Source organism: Homo sapiens, chromosome 19, assembly GCF_000001405.40.
Source record: "Homo sapiens chromosome 19, GRCh38.p14 Primary Assembly".
NCBI classification, from domain to species: Eukaryota; Metazoa; Chordata; class Mammalia; order Primates; family Hominidae; genus Homo; species Homo sapiens.
Genome location: NC_000019.10, coordinates 53,475,926 through 53,496,704, shown reverse-complemented (window position 1 = coordinate 53,496,704; position 20,779 = coordinate 53,475,926). Strand labels below are relative to the sequence as shown.

Here is a 20,779-nt window from a genome sequence, read left to right as displayed (position 1 = left end):
CCACCCGCCTCGGCCTCCAAAAGTGCTGGGATTACAGGCATGAGCCACCGTGCATGGCCTCTACGTAGCTTTATTTTAGTCTTTGTGGCTATCTCATTTAGGAATAAAATGGGAGGCAGGTTTGTCTGATGCAGTTCTCAGGTTGACTTTTCTCTTTGGCTTAGTAATTTTTATTTTCCTTTCACGAGCTTGTGACAGACATAATGCTTTGACACACTGATATTGCTTAATATAGATTTTTCCATAACAGTAAAGTCCAAGGGTCTCTCATGAATTGGGTTAGGGGAGATGAGAACATTCCCAGGAGACTCCTGGTCTCAAGCAATCCTCCCATCTCAGCCTCCCAAAGTGCGAGGACCACAGGTGTGATCAGCTGACCCAGTGGAGTCTTGATCTCAAAAAAAAAAAAAAAAAAAAAAGCAAAACAGAAATTAAGGTACTCTATGCAATTACATCATTTGCCTTTTTTATTTTGAAATGAAAAGTCTCACATATTTATTACTGAACCCACCCAACTGACGTGTTCATAGCAGATTCAGAGAAAAAACATATTCCCAATAAAACATTTCCAACACTCCAGATAGTGGTGACATTTTCAGCTTGATATGGTAACGCGATTGTAATGCTCACACAGCATAAATATGTGTGCCATCTCACGTGCAATTCCTTATAGACCCCGCTTCGTTCTTCTCCAATGTCTCCTTTTGGAGTCGTACCTGATTTTATTACCAGTTTTGATCTGAATCCACTGGGGGAATGGAATGATTTTGCTTTTGTTTCTTGGCCAGGTATTGCTTAAATCTGAAAGTCCTGTGAGATCTGGCGAGAAGGGGAGTCAAGTACACACCACGAGAGGAGACAGGAAGAGAAGGGGCTTGACATATTTTATTTTTTATTTATTTATTTTTTTTTGAGACAAAGTTTTGCTCTTATTGCCCCCATCTTGGCTCACTGCAACCTCCGCCCCCCAGGTTAAAGCGATAATGCAGCCTCAGCCTCCTGAGTAACTGGGATTACAAGCACCCGCCACCACACCCAGCTAATTTTTGTATTTTTAGTAGAGACGGGGTTTCACCATGTTAATCAGCCTGTTCTCAAACTCCTGACTATTGTTTCTGCTGTTACCTGTCAGTCCTCTTCATTGTGGCACAAACAAGATAAATTTTTTTGTAAAACTGATGTGCAAGGGGCATGGTGGCTCATGCCTGTAATCTCCACACTTTGGGAGGCTGAGGTGGGCAGATCGTGAGGTCAGGAGTTCAAGACCAGCCTTGCCAACATGGTGAAACCCCGTCTTACTAAAAATACAAAAATTAGCTGATGTGGTGGCACGCGCCTGTAGTCCCAGCTACTAAGGAGGCAGAGACAGGAGAATCACTTGAACCCGGGAGGCAGAGGTTGCAGTGAGCCGAGATTGCACCACTGCATTCCAGCCTGGGAGACAGAGCGAGACACCATCTCAAAAAAACAACAACAACAAAAACAAACAAAAAAACTGATGTGGATGGTGTGCCTGCCACTCCATGCATCACCTTCAACATTGTCTTGTCCCAACTCAAACTAAGTTATCCATTTACAAACTGTTTATTTCTTCTGGGCATCATCTCCATAATCTTTTCATAAAGCATCAATGATTTCATTATTCCTCTACCCAAACTTTACAAGAAGTATTTTTTTTTTTGAGCCAGTATCTCGCTCCATCACCCATGCTGGAATGCAGTGGCATGATCATAGCTCACTGCAGCCTCAACCTCCCAGGCTCGAGCTATCCTCCTACCACAGACTCCACAGCAGCTGGCCCTGCATGCATGTGCTACCGTGCCCAGCTAATTTTTGTATTTTTTGTAGACAAGGGGGTTTCACCATGTTGCCCAGGCTTGTCTTGAATACCTGGGCTTACATGACCCACCTGTCTTGGCCTCTGAAAGTGCTGGGATTACAGGCCTGAGCCACTGCATCTGGTCTCACTGTAAATTTGATGCTCCTTTTTGTTTCAATTTTAGCAGGATTTATATTGCTTTGATAGAGTCTCTTTTCTTTTCTTTTCTTTTTTTTTTTTTTGAGACAGAGTTTCGCTCTTGTTGACCAGGCTGGAGTGCAATGGTGCAATCTCGGCTCACAGCAATCTCTGCCTCCCGGGTTCAAGCCATTCTCCTGCCTCAGCCTCCAGAGTATCTGGGATTACAGGCATTTGCCACCATGCCTGGCTAATTTTGTATTTTTAGTAGAGATGCTGTTTCTCCATGTTGGTGAGGCTGGTCTCGAACTCTGGATCTCAGGTGATCCACCCACCTTGGCCTCCCAAAGTGTTGGGATTACAGGCATGAGCCACTGCGCCCGGCAGAGAAAGTCTCTTTTAAAACTCATGTCTTATCCTTCTGGGTGCCTCAAACTAGGACCTGTTCAGACATAACAGATTCGTACCAGTTTATTTTGGTGCAAAAACTGGGAAATTCATACACAATTTTCTCATAATATGCAAAATATGTATTTTTCCATGAACTTCTTGAAGACCCCTTGTACTAAAAAGCTGTATTCAAGAGGATGTAAAAAGGACTGTAGATACTCAAGTGCCACTTATTTCTGGGATGCAAGGATGGTTCAACATAGTCAAGCAAATCAATGTGATATGCCACTTGAACAGAATGAAAGATGAAAACCACATCATCTCAATAGATGGAGAAAAAGTATTTCACAAAATTCAAAATCCACTCATCATAGAAATTCTGAACAAAATAGACAGAAAAGGAAATTTACCTCAACAATAGAAAGGCCATCCATGAAATGACCAACGAGTAGATAACGAAGCAGGGAACATGGAATGATTTTCCTGTAGGATCTCACATGATGGAAGAATGCTCTCACCCCTTCTATTCAATAAATACTGGCTGTCCTAGCCAGAGCAATGAAATAGCAAAAGAAATCAAACCCATCCAAATCAGAAAGAAAGAAGTAAAATTATATGTGTTTGTAGATGACATGATCTTCTGTGTAGAAAATCACAAAGACTCAACCAAAATACTACTGGAAGTAATAAACAGATTCAGTGTATCTGCACAGTACAATATCAGCACCAAAAATTAGCTGAATTTCCATACATTAACAATAAACAATTTTAAAAGAAAATTTAAAAACACTTCCATTTGCTAGAGAACTTAAAGTAAGAAATACTTAGGAATAAAAGCAAAAAGATGAGAAGTTTGTAACAATAAACAATTTTAAAAGAAAATTTAAAAACACTTCCATTTGCTAGAGAACTTAAAGAAATAGAAATAAAAGTAAAAAGGTGAGAAGTTTGTACCTTGAAATCTACAAATATACATCAATATGATTAAAAACATATACAGACATATAACCCATATTGATGGATTGGAAAAATTAATATTGTTAAATGATTATATAACCCAATGTGATTTAGATTCAACACGGTACCCATAAAAATCCCTATCAGTTTTTGTTAAAGAACAAAAAGCAAACTGGGAAAAGTGGCTCATGTTTGTTGGCCAGACTGATCTGAAACTCCTGACCTCAAGTGATCTACCCGCCTTGGCCTCCCAAAGTGCTGGGATTACAGGTGTGAGACACTGTACCTGGCCCAATCCTCTTAACATAAACACTTTAATGTCAATTACTGCTTGATGGTTTGCTCTACTCATTGCATTTGGAACAATTATCTCAAAATGAATTTTCTGATATTCTGCAAGGAGTGAAGTCAGACTGAAAACCTTGCCACACTGATGACATTTGTAAGATTTCCGTCCAGTGTGCATTCTCTGATGTCTAAGGAGGTGTGAACGTGAAGTAAAGGCTTTGCCACAATCATCACACGTGAGGTTTCTCTCCTGTATGAATTCTCCTATGTTTTGCATAGGATGAAGCTTGACTGAAGACCTTGCCTCAATCATGACATTTATAAGGTTTGTCTCCAGTATGAGTTCGCCAATGAACTGCAAGGTATGGACGATGTCTGAAAAATTTGCCGATTATTACACTTGTATGATCTCTCTTCCTTATGGGTTCTCCAATGATTTGCAATGGTTGTAGCGTTACTGAAGACTTGGTGACAATCATTACATTAGTCAAGTTTCCTTCACCATGGATTGCCTGATGGTGAGTAAGTGTTGACTGCTCATTAAGGCTTTGCCAGACTCATTACACTTGTAAGGTTTCTCTCCAGTATAAATTCTAGGATGTTGTGCCAGGTGTGAGTCATGCCCGAAAGCCTTGTCACGAACTCTTACAATTTTATGGTTTCTCTGCAGTATGATTTATTTTATGTCTTTCAAGGTTTGACTTGTGACTGAAAACTCTGTGATATTCTTCACCTTTGTAAGCTTTCTCTCCAGTATGAATTCTCCTGTCTTTTGAGGCTCGATTTGCCACTGTAAACTTTGTCACATGCTTCACATTTCTAAGGTTTCTCTCCACTATGAAGTCTATGATGACGTGGAAGGTGTGCTTGTTGATTAAAAATTTTGCAACGTTCATTACACTTGTTTCTCTCCAGTATGAATTCTTATGAATTACAAGGACTGAATTGTGACAGAAGGTCTTGCCACACTCATTGCACTTGTTTCTTTCCAGTATGAATTGTATGATGATGTGCAAGCTTTGCTTTTCAATTAAAAGCTTTGCCACACTCATTAAACTTGTAAGGTTTCTCTCCAGTATGAAGTCTATGATGACGTGCAAGGTTTGCTTTTTGATTAAAAACCTTGCCACATTCATTACACTTGTAAGGTTTCTCTCCAGTATGAAGTCTATGGTGACGTGCAAGGTGTGCTTTTTGATTAAAAACCTTGCCACATTCATTACACTTGTAAGGTTTATCTCCAGTATGAAGTCTATGATGATGTGCAAGGTGTGTTTTTCGATTAAAAACCTTGCCACATTCATTACACTTGTAAGGTTTCTCTCCAGTATGAAGTCTATGATGACATGCAAGGTGTGTTTTCCGATTAAAACCCTTGCCACATTCATTACACTTGTAAGGTTTCTCTCCAGTATGAATTGCCGTATGAATTACGAGGGCTGAAATTCGACTGAACGTCTTGCCACACTCATTACACTTGTAACGTTTCTCTCCAATATGAATAGCCTTATGAATTACAAGGGCTGAATTTCGACTGAACGTCTTGACACACTCAGTACACTTGTAGGGTTTCTCTCCACTATGAAGTCTATGATGACGTGCAAGGTTTGCCTTTTTATTAAAAACCTTGCCACATTCATTACACTTGTAAGGCTTCTCTCCGGTATGAAGTCTACGATGGCATTTAAGGGTTAACTCCTGACTGAAGGTCTTGCCACATTCATTACACTTATAAGGTTTCTCTCCCGTATGAAGTCTATGATGGCATGTAAGGGATGACTTCCGACTAAAGGTCTTGCCACACTCATTACACTTGAAAGGTTTCTCTCCAGTATGAAGTCTACGATGGCATGTAAGGGATGACGTCTGACTAAAGGTCTTGCCACATTCATTACACTTGTATGGTTTTTCTCCAGCATGAATTCTCCTATGTCTTTTAAGGTTTGATTTGAAACTGAAAGCTTTGTCACATTCTTCACATTTGTAAGGTTTCTCTCCAGTATGAAGTCTACGATGGCATGTAAGGGAATACGTCTGACTGAAAGTCTTGCCACACTCATTACACCTGTAAGGTTTCTCCCCAGTGTGACATCTACGATGGCACACTAGGTTTCGCTTCCGATTAAAGACCTTGCCACATACATCACATTTATATTGTTTCTCTCCTAAATGGATTATTTGATGTTTCCTTAAGAGTGAGCTATAATTAAAGGCTTTGCCACTCTCATTACATTGGAAAGACTTTTCTCTCATGTGTACCTCCTGTTTTTGTGTGAGTAACGAAGAATTCCGGAAATTATTCCCATAGTTATTAGAAATATGGGTTTTGGGCCTACAAGAAATTCTTTGGGATGTTGAAATTGAGGAAGCATCGTTGATAGACTTCTCCACTTGATTACCAATTTTCCCTTGGGTCTGAAACATGTGGAGTTCAGGCAGATGCGAATGAAAGCTTGATCCAAGCTGATCTTTAATAGGCTTGTTTCCAGCATGCCTTTGATCATATCGGTCTGCACTACCAGTCAACTTTTTGATTTCTGTCATGGGTGCTTCATGGCTATTTCTTTCATCTTCTTGCCACTGAAACTCTAAGTTATGAATATCTTTATCAATTTCCTGAAAGCGAAAGTCTCCAGTGTGATGACTTTCATGTCTTTGCAATGTCCCTGTGTGGATCACTTCTCTATTGCCTTGTGCTGTTGATGAGAACTCCTTCATCATGCATTTGGAAGAGATATCTACAAAATATAAACACGAATAGGTTTCCAGTTCAGTACAGATGGTAAATAATACTGAAATGTGTAAATGTGACACAAAAAATACTCATTTTAAACTTCCCCAACATGATCTTCAAAGTTTAGGAACACAAAAGCGTAAGATTCTTTATTAGATAAAGGGCTATTACATGTGCTTCAAATCATCTCTACGGAACCCTATTTCCAATATCACGACAAAACACTGACAGTGCACAAATGTGTATAAGCCTAAAGTAAGGAGTATTTTTCCACTGTGACCGTAAAGTGTCTAACAGTTTGCAAAAAACATATCACCGTCACACCAATGAAAAGTATATATTCTTCATATTTACAGCATATTTGCTGTATACAAATAAATGCTAAAGGACCACATGATATACCATATTGGTAAATAATCCACAACAAGCTCATGTAAGGATAACCAAAATCAATGGAAATTCTGTATTGTCAAACAATCATAGCACTGAAAAGGTAAGAAACGATTACAAAATGTAGCCAGGCGTGGTGGCCTACGTCTGTAGTCCCAGCTACTCAGGAGGCTGAGGCACAAGAATCGCTTGAACCCAAGAGGCAGAGGTTGCAGTGAGCTGAGATTGCAACACTGTACTTCAGCCTGGGTAACAAAGTGAGACTTAATCTCAAAATAAAAGTTAATACAATATTTTTCTGAATTACTGTCATAAAATTACCTATACCTATGCAGAAAAGGCACGTTATGACGTTCTTTTAAAAATTTTTGTATTTTTTTATTTTCGAGATGAAGTTTCACTTTGTCACAACAGGCTGGAGTGCTATGGCCCAATCTTGGCTCACTGCAACCTCCACCTTTTGGGTTCAAGCCATTCTCTTGCCTCAGCCTCCTGAGTACCTGGGATAATAGGCACATGCCAGCATGCTTGGCTAATTTTTGTATTTTTAGTAGATAGAGGGTTTCACCATGTTGGCCAGGCTGTGGTCGAACTTTTGACCTCAATGATCCACCCGCCTCAGCTTCCCAAAGTCCTGGGACTACAGGCACGAGCCACAGTGCCCCAGTTAATGTGACATTAATGCCAGGCACGGTGGCTTATGCCTGTAATCCTAGCACTTTGGGAGGCCAAGGCAGGCGGATCACCTGAGGTCAGGAGTTCGAGACCAGCCTGACAAACATGGAGAAACCCCGTCTCTACTAACAATACAAAATTAGCCGGGTGTGGTGGCTCATGCCTGTAATCCCAGCTACTCGGGAAGGCTGAGGCAGGAGAATCACTTGAACCCAGGAGGCAGAGGTTGCAGCGAGCCAAGATCACGCCATTGCACTCCAGCCTGGGCAACAACAGTGAAACTCTGTCTCAAAAAAAAATGACATTAACTAGTGGACTGTGTCAGTTATATTGCATACCACATACCGAAAAGCTTTATGTACAATCATAAAAATTAGTTAGTAAAATATTGTAACTCATAAAACTAGCAAGCAAATAACAAGTACATTTATACAACCTGCAGAATTCTAAACAATTCCCTGTTAAGAAAAAAGCCACAACTTCTATATACCACCAGAACACAATATAAGAACTGAAATACATGTTAAGATCACTACATGTTAATTTATGAGGTCAAAAATATACACAGCATTATAAGGAATAAGAATTGACTAACGGCTGGGCGCGGTGGCTCACGCCTGTAATCCCAGCACTTTGGCAGGCTGAGGCAGGAGGATCACGAGGTCAGATCGAGACCATCCTGGCTAACACCATGAAATCCTGCCTCCACCTCTACAAAAAAAAAAAAAATACAAAAAATTAGCCGGGTGTGGTGACATGTGCCTGTAGTCCCATCTACTTGGGGGACTGAGGCAGGAAAATCACTTGAACCCAGTAAGCAGAGGTTGCAGTTAGCCAAGATCATGCCACTGCACTCCAGCCTGGACAACAGACCAAGACTCCATCTCAAAAAAAAAAAAGAAAAAAAAGGAAATGAAAGAAGTCTAAAGAGTCACTCCAACCCACAAATATATATAAAGTTCTCCAGTAAAGGTAAATTAAAAGACAGACAGGCAGGGCGCGGTGGTTCACACCTGTAATCGCAGCAGTTTCGGAGGCTGAGGTTGATGGATCACCTGAGGGCAGGAGTTTGAGATCGGCCAGACAAAAAAGGAGAAACCCTGTGTCTATTAAAACACAAAATTAGCCAGGCATGGTGGCACATGCCTGTAATCCCAGCTACTCGGGAAATTGAGGCAGGAGAATCACTTGAACCTGGGAGTTGGAGGTTGGAGTGACCCAAGATTGTGCCACTGCACTCCAGCATGGGCGACAAGAACAAAACTTCATCTCACCAACAAATAAATAAATAAATGAATAGGCAAATAAAAGTACAGATACAGAAACTGTTGTAAGTGTACCTTTTCTTCATAATTCAACTTTTTTTCTATTATTTAAAAGAAAAAAAGCATGAAAACACAATATACATATATGTTGATGAAAATGCAACATACACAAATAATTCTGACATAAATAAAGAGTTCTGGTGGAGAAAGAGAAGTTTTTGCAGGTTATGGAATTTTTTTTTTTTTTTTTTGAGACAGAGTCTTGTTCTGTTGCCCAGGCTGGAGGGCAATGGCACAGTCTCAGCTCACTGCAACCTTCACCTCCCAGGTTCAAGCGACTCTCCTGCCTTAGCCTCTTGAGTAGCAGGGCTTACAGATGCCCACCACAGTGTCCGGCTAATTTTTGTATTTTTAGTAGAGATGGAGTTTTGCCATGTTAGCCAGACTGGTTTTGAACTCCTGACCTCAGGTGATTTGCCTGCCTTGGCCTCTCTACGTGCTGGGATTACAGGCATGAGCCACTGGGGCACAAGGATCGGTTGAGCTGGAGAGGCAGAGCCAGTTGCGGTGACCCAAGATCGCACCACTGAACTGTAGCCTTGGCGACAGAGTGAGACTCCATCATAAACAAACAAACAAAAAAAGTAAATAAGAAGGGAGTCAAAGCATGTCTACACAAAAAAGCAATTAAACACAAAAAGTAGTAAATGAGAAATGAAGAACAAAAAAAATCTACAATACAGATAATATGTAACAGAAATGCAATGGTAAGGTCTTCTCCATCAGTAATACTTCAAATGTAAATATTTAACTCTGCACTCAGAAGGCAAAGACTGGCTGAATCAACAGGAACCAACTACATGTTTTCTACAGAAGACTCATATTGGCCTTAAGGACATACATATGCAAAAATTTTAAAAGTAAAAGCCAATAATTAGTTATGGGGGTTGGTGCCTGTAATCCCAGTTACTCAGGAGGCTGAGGAGGATCTCTTGAGCCCAGGAGATCAAGACCAACTTCAACAACGCAGTAAGAACATTCTCTAAAAAAAAAAAAAAAAAAAAAAACTAAAAAAGTAGCCGGACATGGTCACATGCACCTGTACCAGCTACTGGGGGAGGCTGAGGTGGGACAATCACTTGAGCCCAGGAATTCAAGATCGCAGTGAGCCATGATCACACCATTTCACTCCACCCTGGGTGACAGAGCAAGACACTGTATCTAAAAACAAGAGAAAATACAAAGATACACAAGGGCACATCCCCACTTCTGGAGGGAAGTTATCCTCACCCAGGGAGACCAGGTTCCTATAATTCTCCAGCATCACGTCCCTGTATAGAGTCCTCTGAGCAGGGTCCAGGCATTTCCACTCCTCCTGAGAGAATTCTATGGCCACATCCCTGAATGTCAATAGACCCTGAAATGAAAACACATTTTAAGGAAATTGTTATGGGAGGAGTTCTTATCTTCACAGAAAATGAGAAGAGGAGAGAGGGGAAAGCATGGATTTAATTGCAGTGAATGTTCTGACAAATCCGAGTAAGGGGTTCTTCACCACATTTTGTCTTCCCAGCTGTGTTTTATTATGCTTTTTTTTTTTTTGAGGTGGAGTCTCACTCTGCTGCCCAGGCTGGAGTGCAATGGCACAGTCTCCACTCACTGCAACCTCCACCTCCCAGGATCAAGCGATTCTCCTGCCTTAGCCTCCTGAGTAGCTGATATTACAGGCACGCACCACCATGGCCAGTTAATTTTTGTATTTTTAGTAGAAACGGGTTTTCACAATATTGGCCTCAAACTTGTGACCTTGTGATCTGCCTGCCTCAGCCTCTCAAAGTGCTGGAATTACATGCGTGATCCACCGCGCCCGGCCCAGAAACTTTTATTGACACAGCAAGTGACATTCAGTATCTAGATGAGACAGAGTATGGGTGATGCCTTCAGAGATGACAACGTCCACAGTGAAAGATCAGAAACTAAAATCCAGCTGGGCATGGTGGCACACGCCTGTTATCCCAGCTACCCGGGAGGCTGATGCAGCAGAATTGCTTGATCCCAGGAGGCAGAGGTTGCAATGATCCAAAATCGCACCATTGCACTCCGGCCTGGGCAACAGAGACTCCATCTCAAAACAAACACACAAACAAACAAACAAACGAAAACAAAAAAACCACATAAAAATTAGCCTGGCATGGCACCTGTGGTTCCAGCTACTTGGGAGCTTGTGGTAGGAGGATGGTTTGAGCCTGAGGGTGGAGGTTGCAGTGAGCTAAGATCACGCCACTGTGCTCCAGCCTGGGCAATACGGTGAGACCCAGTCTTAAAATAAAAGAAAATACATGAAAACTAGATTTCTCAAAGTATGAAAATCCATTGTGTGTGTATGTGTATATATGTCATGACATACATGTATATATCACGACATGCATGTATATATCACGATATATATCATGACATACATATGTCATGACATACATGTATATATGTCATGACATACATATATGTCAACAAAATAATGAAACCTACAGAGACTCACAAAAAACTAGATGTTAATACAAAGGGTTGTCATTTTCCCCAGATTTTCAAACTGTAAAAGTTGTTCAAAATATATACATTTGTGTGTGTGTATATGTATGGAGATGTATATGTGTGTGTATATTGTATATGTGAGTGTGTATATAAAGTTTTTACAAATATAAAAAGTAGCAAGTTTTGTTGAACTGAAGAGGGATCTCATCTTGCTGGAAAAGGACACATTGGCAGTTGGGGGCAGGGTGGAATCCTCTCAGATCTAAGAAAACAGGAAATGCCCCATCCTAGAGGAAGCAATCACCCTTTCAACTGCCTGACCTGGAGGGATCTTCAGATATCTGTAGTAATGCAGGTGTGCTCAGCTAATTTTTGCAAAAAAGTATTTTTTTTTAATTTACAGCAGAATTTTTTTTAAGTCTCATAGTGATGCAGAAATACACGTGTATGAGACTTGCTCTGACACCTGACACCGAACTGACAGTAGCGGCTCCCCAGTGAGGCTGGAAGGAGGGTGGAGGACGTGACAGGGAAAGGAGATGCTTTATAGCAAAAAGTCTAAGCTGCAGCTTTGCTTGGAGTTTTACCACAAAACAAATATATACATCATGTGATGGTTAAATATAAAAATATGTATTTAATAATAATTGGTGGGGCTGGGCACGGTGCCTCGCACCTGTAATCCCAGCACTCTGGGAGACTGAGGTGGGCAGATCACCTGAGATCAGCAGTTTGAGACCAGCCTGGCCAACATGGTGATACCCGTCACTAATAAAAATACAACAAAATTAGCTGGGCGGGGTGACGCACGCCTATAATCCCAGCTACTTGGGAGGCTGAGGCAGGAGAATCACTTGAACCTGGAAGATGGAGGTTCCCATGAGCCAAGATCATGCCACTGCACTTCAGCCTAGGTGACAGACCAAGACTTCATATATTTAAAATACAATAATATTATCATAATTTAATAATAATGACAATACAAATTATAACCATTTTCCTGAAAACACCTGTTTCACAAGCCTCTCCACAGTAACCCCACAGTCTCCATGAGCGTAATGTGCTAAGAATGGTTGAATGAATCTCCTGCTATGATTCAGGTTGATTTCCTATTCTTAAAGTAATGATGGGATAAAACATCTTCTATCATTCATGTCTGTATGAACTTTCCATTCTAATTACTAAGATTTTTGGAGTCAGAAACACAGTAACTCACTCAAAAAACTAAAAATGTACTATAAAATCAGGCAGAAAACATTTCCCCATATTGGTTGCCTTTTCTAGAATTTACCACGTACTTTGTGCACATGAATATGTGACTTCCATTGGCAGCTGCTCTAATCCTAGTCCACAGAGAGCTGAGAGAGCATCCACATGTGGCCACTGAACAATCCCTGCTGCCCAACAGCACTGACACCATGGGACCCTCACCCCGTCTCCATCCATGTCTGGGTGTGAGCCCTTCCCAGGACCATGCCCAGTGCAGCCTCTTCCCAAGTTCATGTCACTCGGTCACAAGAGATGGAATCTAAGTGAGAAAAGAGGGACTGAGGGAAGGCATGGGTGAATGTGAGCAAACCTGTCAGGCAGGATGCTTCAGACTCAGAGAAGATTCCCAACTCCAAGGCCCAGCATTTCTGAGGGGAAGGAGACAGAACAATCCACCAAAAATATCATCTCACCTGAGGAAGAGCCATCCCTGACTCCTTTGCTTTCCTCTTCCTCTTCCAGGTTTCTTCCTCACATACCAAGAGTCTTTAGAAGTCAATCCTGAATGTTAGAAATATGTTGTTTATTGCTCAGAATCAACACATCCCCTCCCTGTAACACAACAACACATACAAAGGAGACCTCATCCTGAGGAAATACGGTCCCCTATGCTGCCGACCACACCAGGGACAATAAACTCCTACAGGAAAACTCCCACTCCCCTCCCGGAGAAGCCCACACACACGCTGCAGCAGTGGGGAGCTGGGGTGGGATGAGCTCCCCTTTAGGGCACAGACCCAGGCCTGACCAAACCTCATGCAAAGGCTGGGTGCGGTGGCTCATGCCTGTCATCCCAGCACTCTGGGAGGCCGAGGTGCGTAGATCTCTTGAGCTCAGGTTTGAGACCAGCCTGGGCAACATGGTGAAACCCCATCTCTACCAAAAATACAAAAACTTAGCCAGGCATGGTTGTGCACATCTGTGTGTCTGTGGTCCCAGTTACTTAGGAGGCTGAGGTGTGAGGATCGCTTGAGCTCAGGAGTTCAAGACCAGCCTGGCCAACATGGTGAAACCCTGTCTCTACTAAAAATACAAAAATTGAGCCGGGCACGGTGGCTCGTGCCTGTAATACTAGCACTCTGGAAGGCCAAGGAGGGTGCATTACTTGAGGTCAGAAGTCAGAGACCAGCCTGGCCAACATGGTGAAACCCCATGTCTACTAAAAATATAAAAAGCAACTGGGCTTGGTGGGTGTCTGTAATCCCAGCTACTCAGGAGGCTGAGGCAGGAGAATCACTTGTACCCAGGAGGTGGCAGTTGCAGTGAGCCAAGATCGTGCCACTGCACTCCAGCCTGGGTGACAATGTGAGACTCAAAAATAAAATAAAATAAAATAAAATAAAAATAAAAATACAATAATTAGCTGGGTGTGGTGGCACACACCTGTACTCTCAGCTACTTGGGAGGCTGAGGCACAAGAATCACTTGAACCCAGGAAACAGAGGTTGCAGTGAGCCAAGATCACAAGACTGCACTCACAGCCTGGGCAATAGAGTGAGATTCTGTCTCTCAAAAAAAAAAAAAAAAAAAAAAAAAAACAAAAAGCATTCCTGATGTGATTGATGCAGAGATAATAGAACCTGAGTAACGTGATAGAGACTGACGGGCAGAGGGAACATCAGATGGGGGTGGGAGGGCATGGGAGACAGCTCTGAGCCTAGACCTGAAGGAGGAGAAAGGGACAGTGCCGTGATCATTTAGGGACATAGAGTAAGAGGAGGGACAATGACCAGAGACAGGAAGGGTTTTGATGTTTGGGAAAAGAGAAAAGCAAATGTGACTGGGGCAGAGGGAGTCATAAGATGAGGGCAAGCTCCCAGGAGGAGGCTGGACACTGGCAGGGGCCCTGGTCACAGGGCTGTGGAGCCACAGTGAGGAGTTGGCCTTTTGTCCTGGGGAACACGGGAAGCTGGTGGAGGGTTCCCTGCCAGGGACTGACGTGACCTGCTTTAGATTTTGCTGTGATGTCCTCATACAGAGAAAGGCCTCGAAGATGGTCTCTGTGTCTGAGTCTACAACTCTGTTTCTTCCATTCTTTTGCATTTTTTTATTCTTTTTTATTTTTGGGGTACTGCATCCCATTTAAAATTCTAATTACAACTGGGCACTCCCCTCTCCCATGAGAAAAGCCATACCCAGACACGTACTCTATTTTGCCAATCATTTCAGGGACCAGGGTCATTCAGGTTGAGCTTTTCTGGTCTAGCCCCTCATCTCCTAGTTGCAGGGAGGCTCACTGGGGCTCAGAGAAAGAGAAATTTTCACCAAGCTACCCTGAGAATGTCTGAGATGAGTGAAAATGTGTGCCTGAATTCTTCTTACATTGGGGCCTGGAAATGCTAATGGGAAGGGTTGGTCTTCATCACCCCTATCCTTGAAAATTAGAGAAGCATCTTTCATATGCCTGGGCTAAAGAAACTTCATTTGCAAGGTTCTGATGCCATTGATTCCCAAATTTTAATTTTTCCTTACAAGAAAATCACAGTAACATTTATAAAACACAGAAGTGTGAACACACAGCTATTGACCTTGAAAACAGTGAAAGAGGGTCAGCTGTAGAACTAAGACATAAGCAAAGTTTTTCAATCAAGAATACATGGGTGGCCAGGTTCAATGGATCATGCCTGTAATCTCAGCACTTTGGGAGGTTGAGGTGGGTAGATCACCTGAGGTCAGGAGTTTGAGACGAGCCTGGTCAACATGATGAAACCCCATCTCTACTAAAAATCCAAAAATTTAGCTGGGCATGGTGGCTGGGTGCCTGTTGTCCCAGCAACTTGGGAGGCTGAGGCAGGAGAATCACTTGAACCCAGGAGGCAGAGGTTGTAGTGAGCCTAGATCACACCATTGCACTCTAGCCTGAGCAACAAGAGTGAAACTCCATCTCAAAAAAAAAAAAAAAAAAAGAATACATGGGTGCTTTTAGAATAGCATTCCATGTTGGGGAAAAGCTGAGGCAGGGCTTGCTAGTCTGACATAATATAAAAAGAGTCTTGGAACATGCCAGGGTCCAGGGCCTAAAACCCCTCGTGGCCTCTGGAATGTGCCCAGACTTGCTGCTTCCTTGCTTCTAGCACTCCCAGGCTCATAAAATGATTGTATCTTAAACTAGAAGAACATGATCTCAAGTTCCCCATGATCTCAAGTCGCAGAACATGTTCCATATAAATGCTAAACTGACACATCTATAGATCATGTGCTTGATGCACCACTTCCTACCAACCCCCACATCCTCACCACCTGCTTCTTTGTTTGATCACCAATAAATAGTGTGGGCTTCCAGAGCTTGGGTCTTTTGCAGCCTCCATACTAGCATTGGCCCCCTGGACCCACCTTATGCATTCTTAACTTGTCTTTTCTCATTCCTTTGACTCCGCCAGAGTTCGTAGCCCCCATGGCCTGGTGTTGGGTCTGGCCACCCCAAAAGTTCCATGCCAATCCAACCCATCTTTCAACATTAGTCCAGAATGGACCAGAGGGCCTTGAGGGAAACATGCACTTAATAGCTCACAGCTCAAGATGTCCACAGATGACATAAGGAAAGAAAACTGAAAAATACACTAACTGGTTAAACTACATTTTGATGTTAAGGTAAAAGGTCACTGACATCTTTACCAGGTAGGCACTGAAATAATCAAACTTCTGTATTCGGTACTAAAGGTTTTCAATAAATAATAAAGACTAGAAAGCATGCAGACCTTGATCTGAACCAGATGCAACTAGTTTCAAACAGAAACTATTTAGAAATTGTCTTTCAAAAATCTAACAAATTCTGGGGTCAACAGGTAAATAACTGGGAAATGTACAGAAAAAAAATGATGTGAGCTGATTATAGGATGTGACAAAGGCATCTTCCAGAAGTAATTATGTTTTTTTTTTTTTTTTTACATCACAACATGCTTTTTAAAGACATGCATTGGGCTCACATTCCCTTAAATGTTGTTTGCAAAGGTTCTCAGCCTCTAGCCCAGCTGGAATCTCCAGGAAGAGGCAGAGACAGTTTGGTGAAAAAGAGGCAGGGGAGGAGGGGGTGGTGAGAGGAGAAAGCAGCCTTCCAATTGAAGATCAGCCCTCAGGTAAAGGTCAGCTTCGGGCAGGCTGGCCTCAGGCGGAGTCAGGGTCAGAGGAAGGAGCAGCAGCAGGGTGGGACTGGGGCATTCTACATCTCATTCAGGTCAAGCAGAGTCTGGTCCAGCATCCTTTGTGTACAGAGGTGTTCCTCTTTGGTGCATTTCAGTTTATCTTCCAAGTCATCAATTGTCTTTTCCAGCTTGGCTACTGATCTCTCAGCCAACTCAGCATGGGTCTCTGCCTCCTCGAGATTATCAGTAAGAATCTTCATCTCTTCCTCACATTTGTCTTCTTTTTGAGGGTACTTTTCTTCAGCTGCACTCAGACACTTCAGGTTCTGGTCCATCAGTCTGATCTGCTCATCCATCTCTCAGCAACGGGACTCTGCCAGCTCAGCTCATTCTTCTGTGCATTCCATGTCTCTTTCAATGATCACCAACTTACGAGCCACCTCTTCATACTTCCCATCTGCCTCATCTGCAATGTGCTTAGCTTCTTTGAGTTGGATTTCCTGGAGTTCCATCTTCTTCATCTTTTAAGGCCCAGATTTCAATAACCTTTGTATCTCTCTCACTCTCATCAGCAGCTTTTCCCGCTTCTTCCAGCTTTTGCAGGGCAGTGGCCAGGCGCTCCTGAGCACAGTCCAGCTCCTCTTCAACCAGCTGGATCCTACCGTTCACGGAGGCCACTTCAGCCTCAGCCTGTTCCCGGGCCCACCTTTCTCTCTCAGCTTCTCACTGGAGGTGCTCAGCTCACTCCTCATCATCTGCCTGCAGCTGCAGAACCTGGATCTTGCGCTTCACTGCCTCGATGGTGGTGATCCCAGCCATGGTGCCCACCCAGCTACTGCTCACACTCCGGTTCCTGCCTCCTCCATTCGGCATTGCAGCCTCCTCTCCATGATTATGTATTAAAAGAGAAATTTTGAAAACTAAGATTTATCTCAGCTGGGCGTGGTTGCTCACACCTGTAATCCCAGCACTTTGGGGGGCCGAAGCAAGTGGATCACCTGAGGTCAGGAGTTCAAGGCCAGCCTGGCCAACATGGTGAAACCCCATATCTGCTAAAAGTACAAAAATTGGCCTGGTGTGGTGGCGTGGGCCTGTAGTCCCACGTACTCGGGAGGTTGAGGCAAAAGAATCACTTGAACCCAGGAGGCAGAGGTTGCAGTGAACTGACATCATGCCACTACACTCCAGCCTGGGTCACTGCATAAGATTCTGCCAAAAAAACACAAAAAACAAAAAACAAAAACCTACAATTTATCTCAAACTGAAAAAAAAAAAAAGCAATGAAGAGGAAACAAAGAAAATAAAGTAAATCTATTACACATAAGAACAAATGTACTTTTGATGTCCCTTTTGTTTTTTATTTTATTTTTTGTTTGCTTGCTTGTTTTTGTGAGATGGAGACTCGCTCTGCCACCCAGACTGCAGTGCACTGGCACAATTTCGGCTCATTGCAACCTCTACCTCCCAGGTTTAAGCGATTCTTGTGCCTTGGCCTTCCCAGTAACTGTGACTACAGGTGCACACCACCACGCCTGCCTAACTTTTGTATTTTTAGTAGAGACCAGGTTTCACCATGTTGGCCAGGCTGGTCTTGAACTCCTCACCTTAGGTGACCCACTCACCTCCATCTCCCAAAGTGCTGGGCTTACTGGCAGGAGCCACCACGTTTTGATGTCCCCTTTAAAAAGTACTATGTAGGCTAGGTGCGGTGGCTCATCCCTGTAATCCCAGTATTTCGGAAGGCCAAGGCAGAAAGATCCTTTGAGCTCAGGATTTTGAGACCAGCCTGGGAAACATAGCGAAACCCGTTTCTACAAAAAAAAAATACAATACTTGTCCGACTTGGTGGCTCACGCCTGTGGTCCCAGCTACACAGGAAGCTGAGGTAGGAGGATCGCTTAAGCCCAGGAGGTCGAGGCTGCAGTTAGAAGAGATCATGCTGCACTCCATCCTGGGTGATAGAGCCAGGCCCTGTCCCAAAATATTAATTATTAATTAATTTAATTAAAAGTATTATGTAATAACAGAAAGTCATTTTTTTCCCACTTCATTGCCCTACTTCCTACCCCAGCCCTGCGAAAAGGGAATAGAGTGATTCACAACTGAATAAGTCACTGCTCTCTGGCTGAATAGGGATTCCAAGTGGAAGCTGACCTCTATGCCAAGATTTATACAATGTACATGCCTTATAGATAGGAATTTTTAAGTTCTCAATCTCATCTGTATAATTTAAACAAATTTTAAGTTATTAGATTATATACACAGAAGTCAACATGTCACAAGTAATCATACCCAGTGAACTCACCCACTCATCTGAACACAAAGTCCCCCACCCCTTTTATTCTTTTGAGACAGGGTCTCACTCTGTTGACCAGGCTGGAGGGCAGTGGCATGATCTCGGCTCACTGCAGCCTGGACCTCCTGGGATCAAGTGATCCTCCTGCCTCGGCCTCCAGAGTAGCTGGGAGTACAGGTGTGCACCATCACATCTGGTTAATTTTATTTATTTATTTTGGCAGAGATGGGGGTCTTACTATGTTGCCCAGGCTGGTCTCATATACCTGGACTCAAGCAATCCCCTTGCCCCAGGCTCCAAAAATGGTGGGATTACAGGAGTGAGCCACTGTGCCCAACCCCTTTTTCAGGCACCAATGCAACCTCACACTCAAGTAGAAGAAAAATTATTATTCCAGTTAGTTAAAGACATTCCTGGAGTACAGGCTGAGGACAACCCACGTGGGTTAGCTGTAAATCATGCGCCAGTAGTAGCAGAATCAAAACCAGGAGCAACTCCTGTTTCAGGTTCGTCAGTACCCAGTTCCCCAAAAATCCATACAGGGCATCTGCAAGCGTTCAGAAAGGCTCTATAAACATAAGATTTTAGTCCAATGCTAGTCGCCTTAGAACACTCCACTTTTGACAGTTCAGAAGCCATTGCCAGGGCCAGGGTCTAATGAATATAGGCTGGTGCAAGATTTGCATGTTGTAAACCAGGCCACGGTAACTATCCATCCAGTGGTACCCAACCCGTACACTGTGATAGGACTCCAGCAAGTGCTACCTAGTTTACAGTCTTAAACTTAAAGGATGCTTTCTTTTATATCTGTCTGGCACCAGTTAGTCAGCCTATCTTTGCATTTCATAAGACAATGAAGCGTCACAGTTCACCTGGACTAGACTCCCACAAAGGTTTAAAAACTCTCCCACAGCCAGGCGCGGTGGCTTATGCCTGTAATCCCAGCACTTTGGGAGGCCAAGGCGGGTGGATCACGAGGTCAGGAGATCGAGACCATCCTGGTTAACAAGGTGAAACCCCGTCTCTACTTAAAATACAAAAATTAGCCAGGCGTGGTGGCGGGCCCCTGTAGTCCCAGCTACTCAGAAGGCTGAGGCAGGAGAATGGTGTGAACCCAGGAGGCGGGAGGAGGCGGAGCTTGCAGTGAGCCAAGATCGCACCACTGCACTTAAGCGTCGGCGACAGAGTGAGACTCCGTCTCAAACAAACAAAAAAACTCTCCCACAATCTTTTTTTTTTTTTTTGAGATGGAGTCTTGCTCTGTTGCCCAGGCTGGAGTGCAGTGGTGCCATCTCAGCTCACTGCAACCTCTGCCCCCCGGGTTCAAGCAATTCTCCTGCCTTAGCCTCCAGAGTAGCTAGGATTACAGGTGCCAGCCACCGCATGTGGCCAGTTTTTGTATTTTTAGTAGAGACCGGGTTTCACCATCTTGGCCGGTCTGGTCTTGGACTCCTGACCTCGTGATCCAGCCACCCCAACCACCTGAAGTGCCGGGATTACAGGCGCGAGCCACCATGCCCGGTTCTCTCCCACAATCTTTAGAGAAACATTGGCTTCAGACCTCATGGCTTATACCCTGCCAAATAGCAACTGCACCTTGTTGCAGTATGCAGATGAGCTTCTTTTGCCGGCCCCAATCTAAGAGGACTGTTATCGGGGAACCCAGGATCTCTTCCATTTCCTATAGAAAATAAGTTACAAAATATCAAAAAAGCAAGCCCAAATTTGCCTTGAAGAGGTTCCATATATCTAGGTGTCATAGTGAGCCACAAGGAACACTGGCTTGGCTATGAGTGGAAGCAAGCCATTTGTGCCCTTCCAACCCCGGCCACCCAACGTCAAATAGGAATTTTTAGAGGCAGCAAGATTCCGGATTCCAAATTGTTCACTGATGGCTAAGTCGTTAATAGGAAGCCACAAAAAGAGGAGAAAAGGAGCCCCTCCTTT

At 43.3% G+C, this 20,779-nt stretch overlaps 1 protein-coding gene and 2 pseudogenes across 1 annotated transcript in view, besides 1 other annotated feature; all 3 read right to left on the bottom strand.

Annotated features, from left to right (window-relative positions):
* ZNF813 (zinc finger protein 813) overlaps positions 450 to 20,779 on the bottom strand; it is a 28,523-nt gene continuing 8,193 nt past the window's right edge. Inside the window, exons 2-4 of the mRNA NM_001004301.4 lie at positions 12,868 to 12,955; positions 9,947 to 10,073; positions 450 to 6,330 (exon numbers count right to left, since the gene is read on the bottom strand). Of these exons, the coding sequence (NP_001004301.2) occupies positions 4,619 to 6,330; positions 9,947 to 10,073; positions 12,868 to 12,882 (1,854 nt within the window). The 5' untranslated portion in view covers positions 12,883 to 12,955 and the 3' untranslated portion in view covers positions 450 to 4,618. The remainder of the gene's footprint in view (positions 6,331 to 9,946; positions 10,074 to 12,867; positions 12,956 to 20,779) is intronic.
* RPL39P37 (ribosomal protein L39 pseudogene 37) lies at positions 473 to 873 on the bottom strand (annotated as a pseudogene).
* Positions 3,423 to 4,622: an enhancer, noted in NCBI's record as "MED14-independent group 3 enhancer chr19:53995337-53996536 (GRCh37/hg19 assembly coordinates)". NCBI's record gives its function as "activates an origin of replication core promoter dependent on BRD2, BRD4, P300/CBP and CDK7 cofactors, and independent of MED14, by STARR-seq in HCT116 cells {active_cell/tissue: HCT116}" and the evidence as "EXISTENCE:reporter gene assay evidence [ECO:0000049][PMID:35650434]".
* Positions 16,340 to 17,423, bottom strand: TPM3P6 (tropomyosin 3 pseudogene 6; annotated as a pseudogene).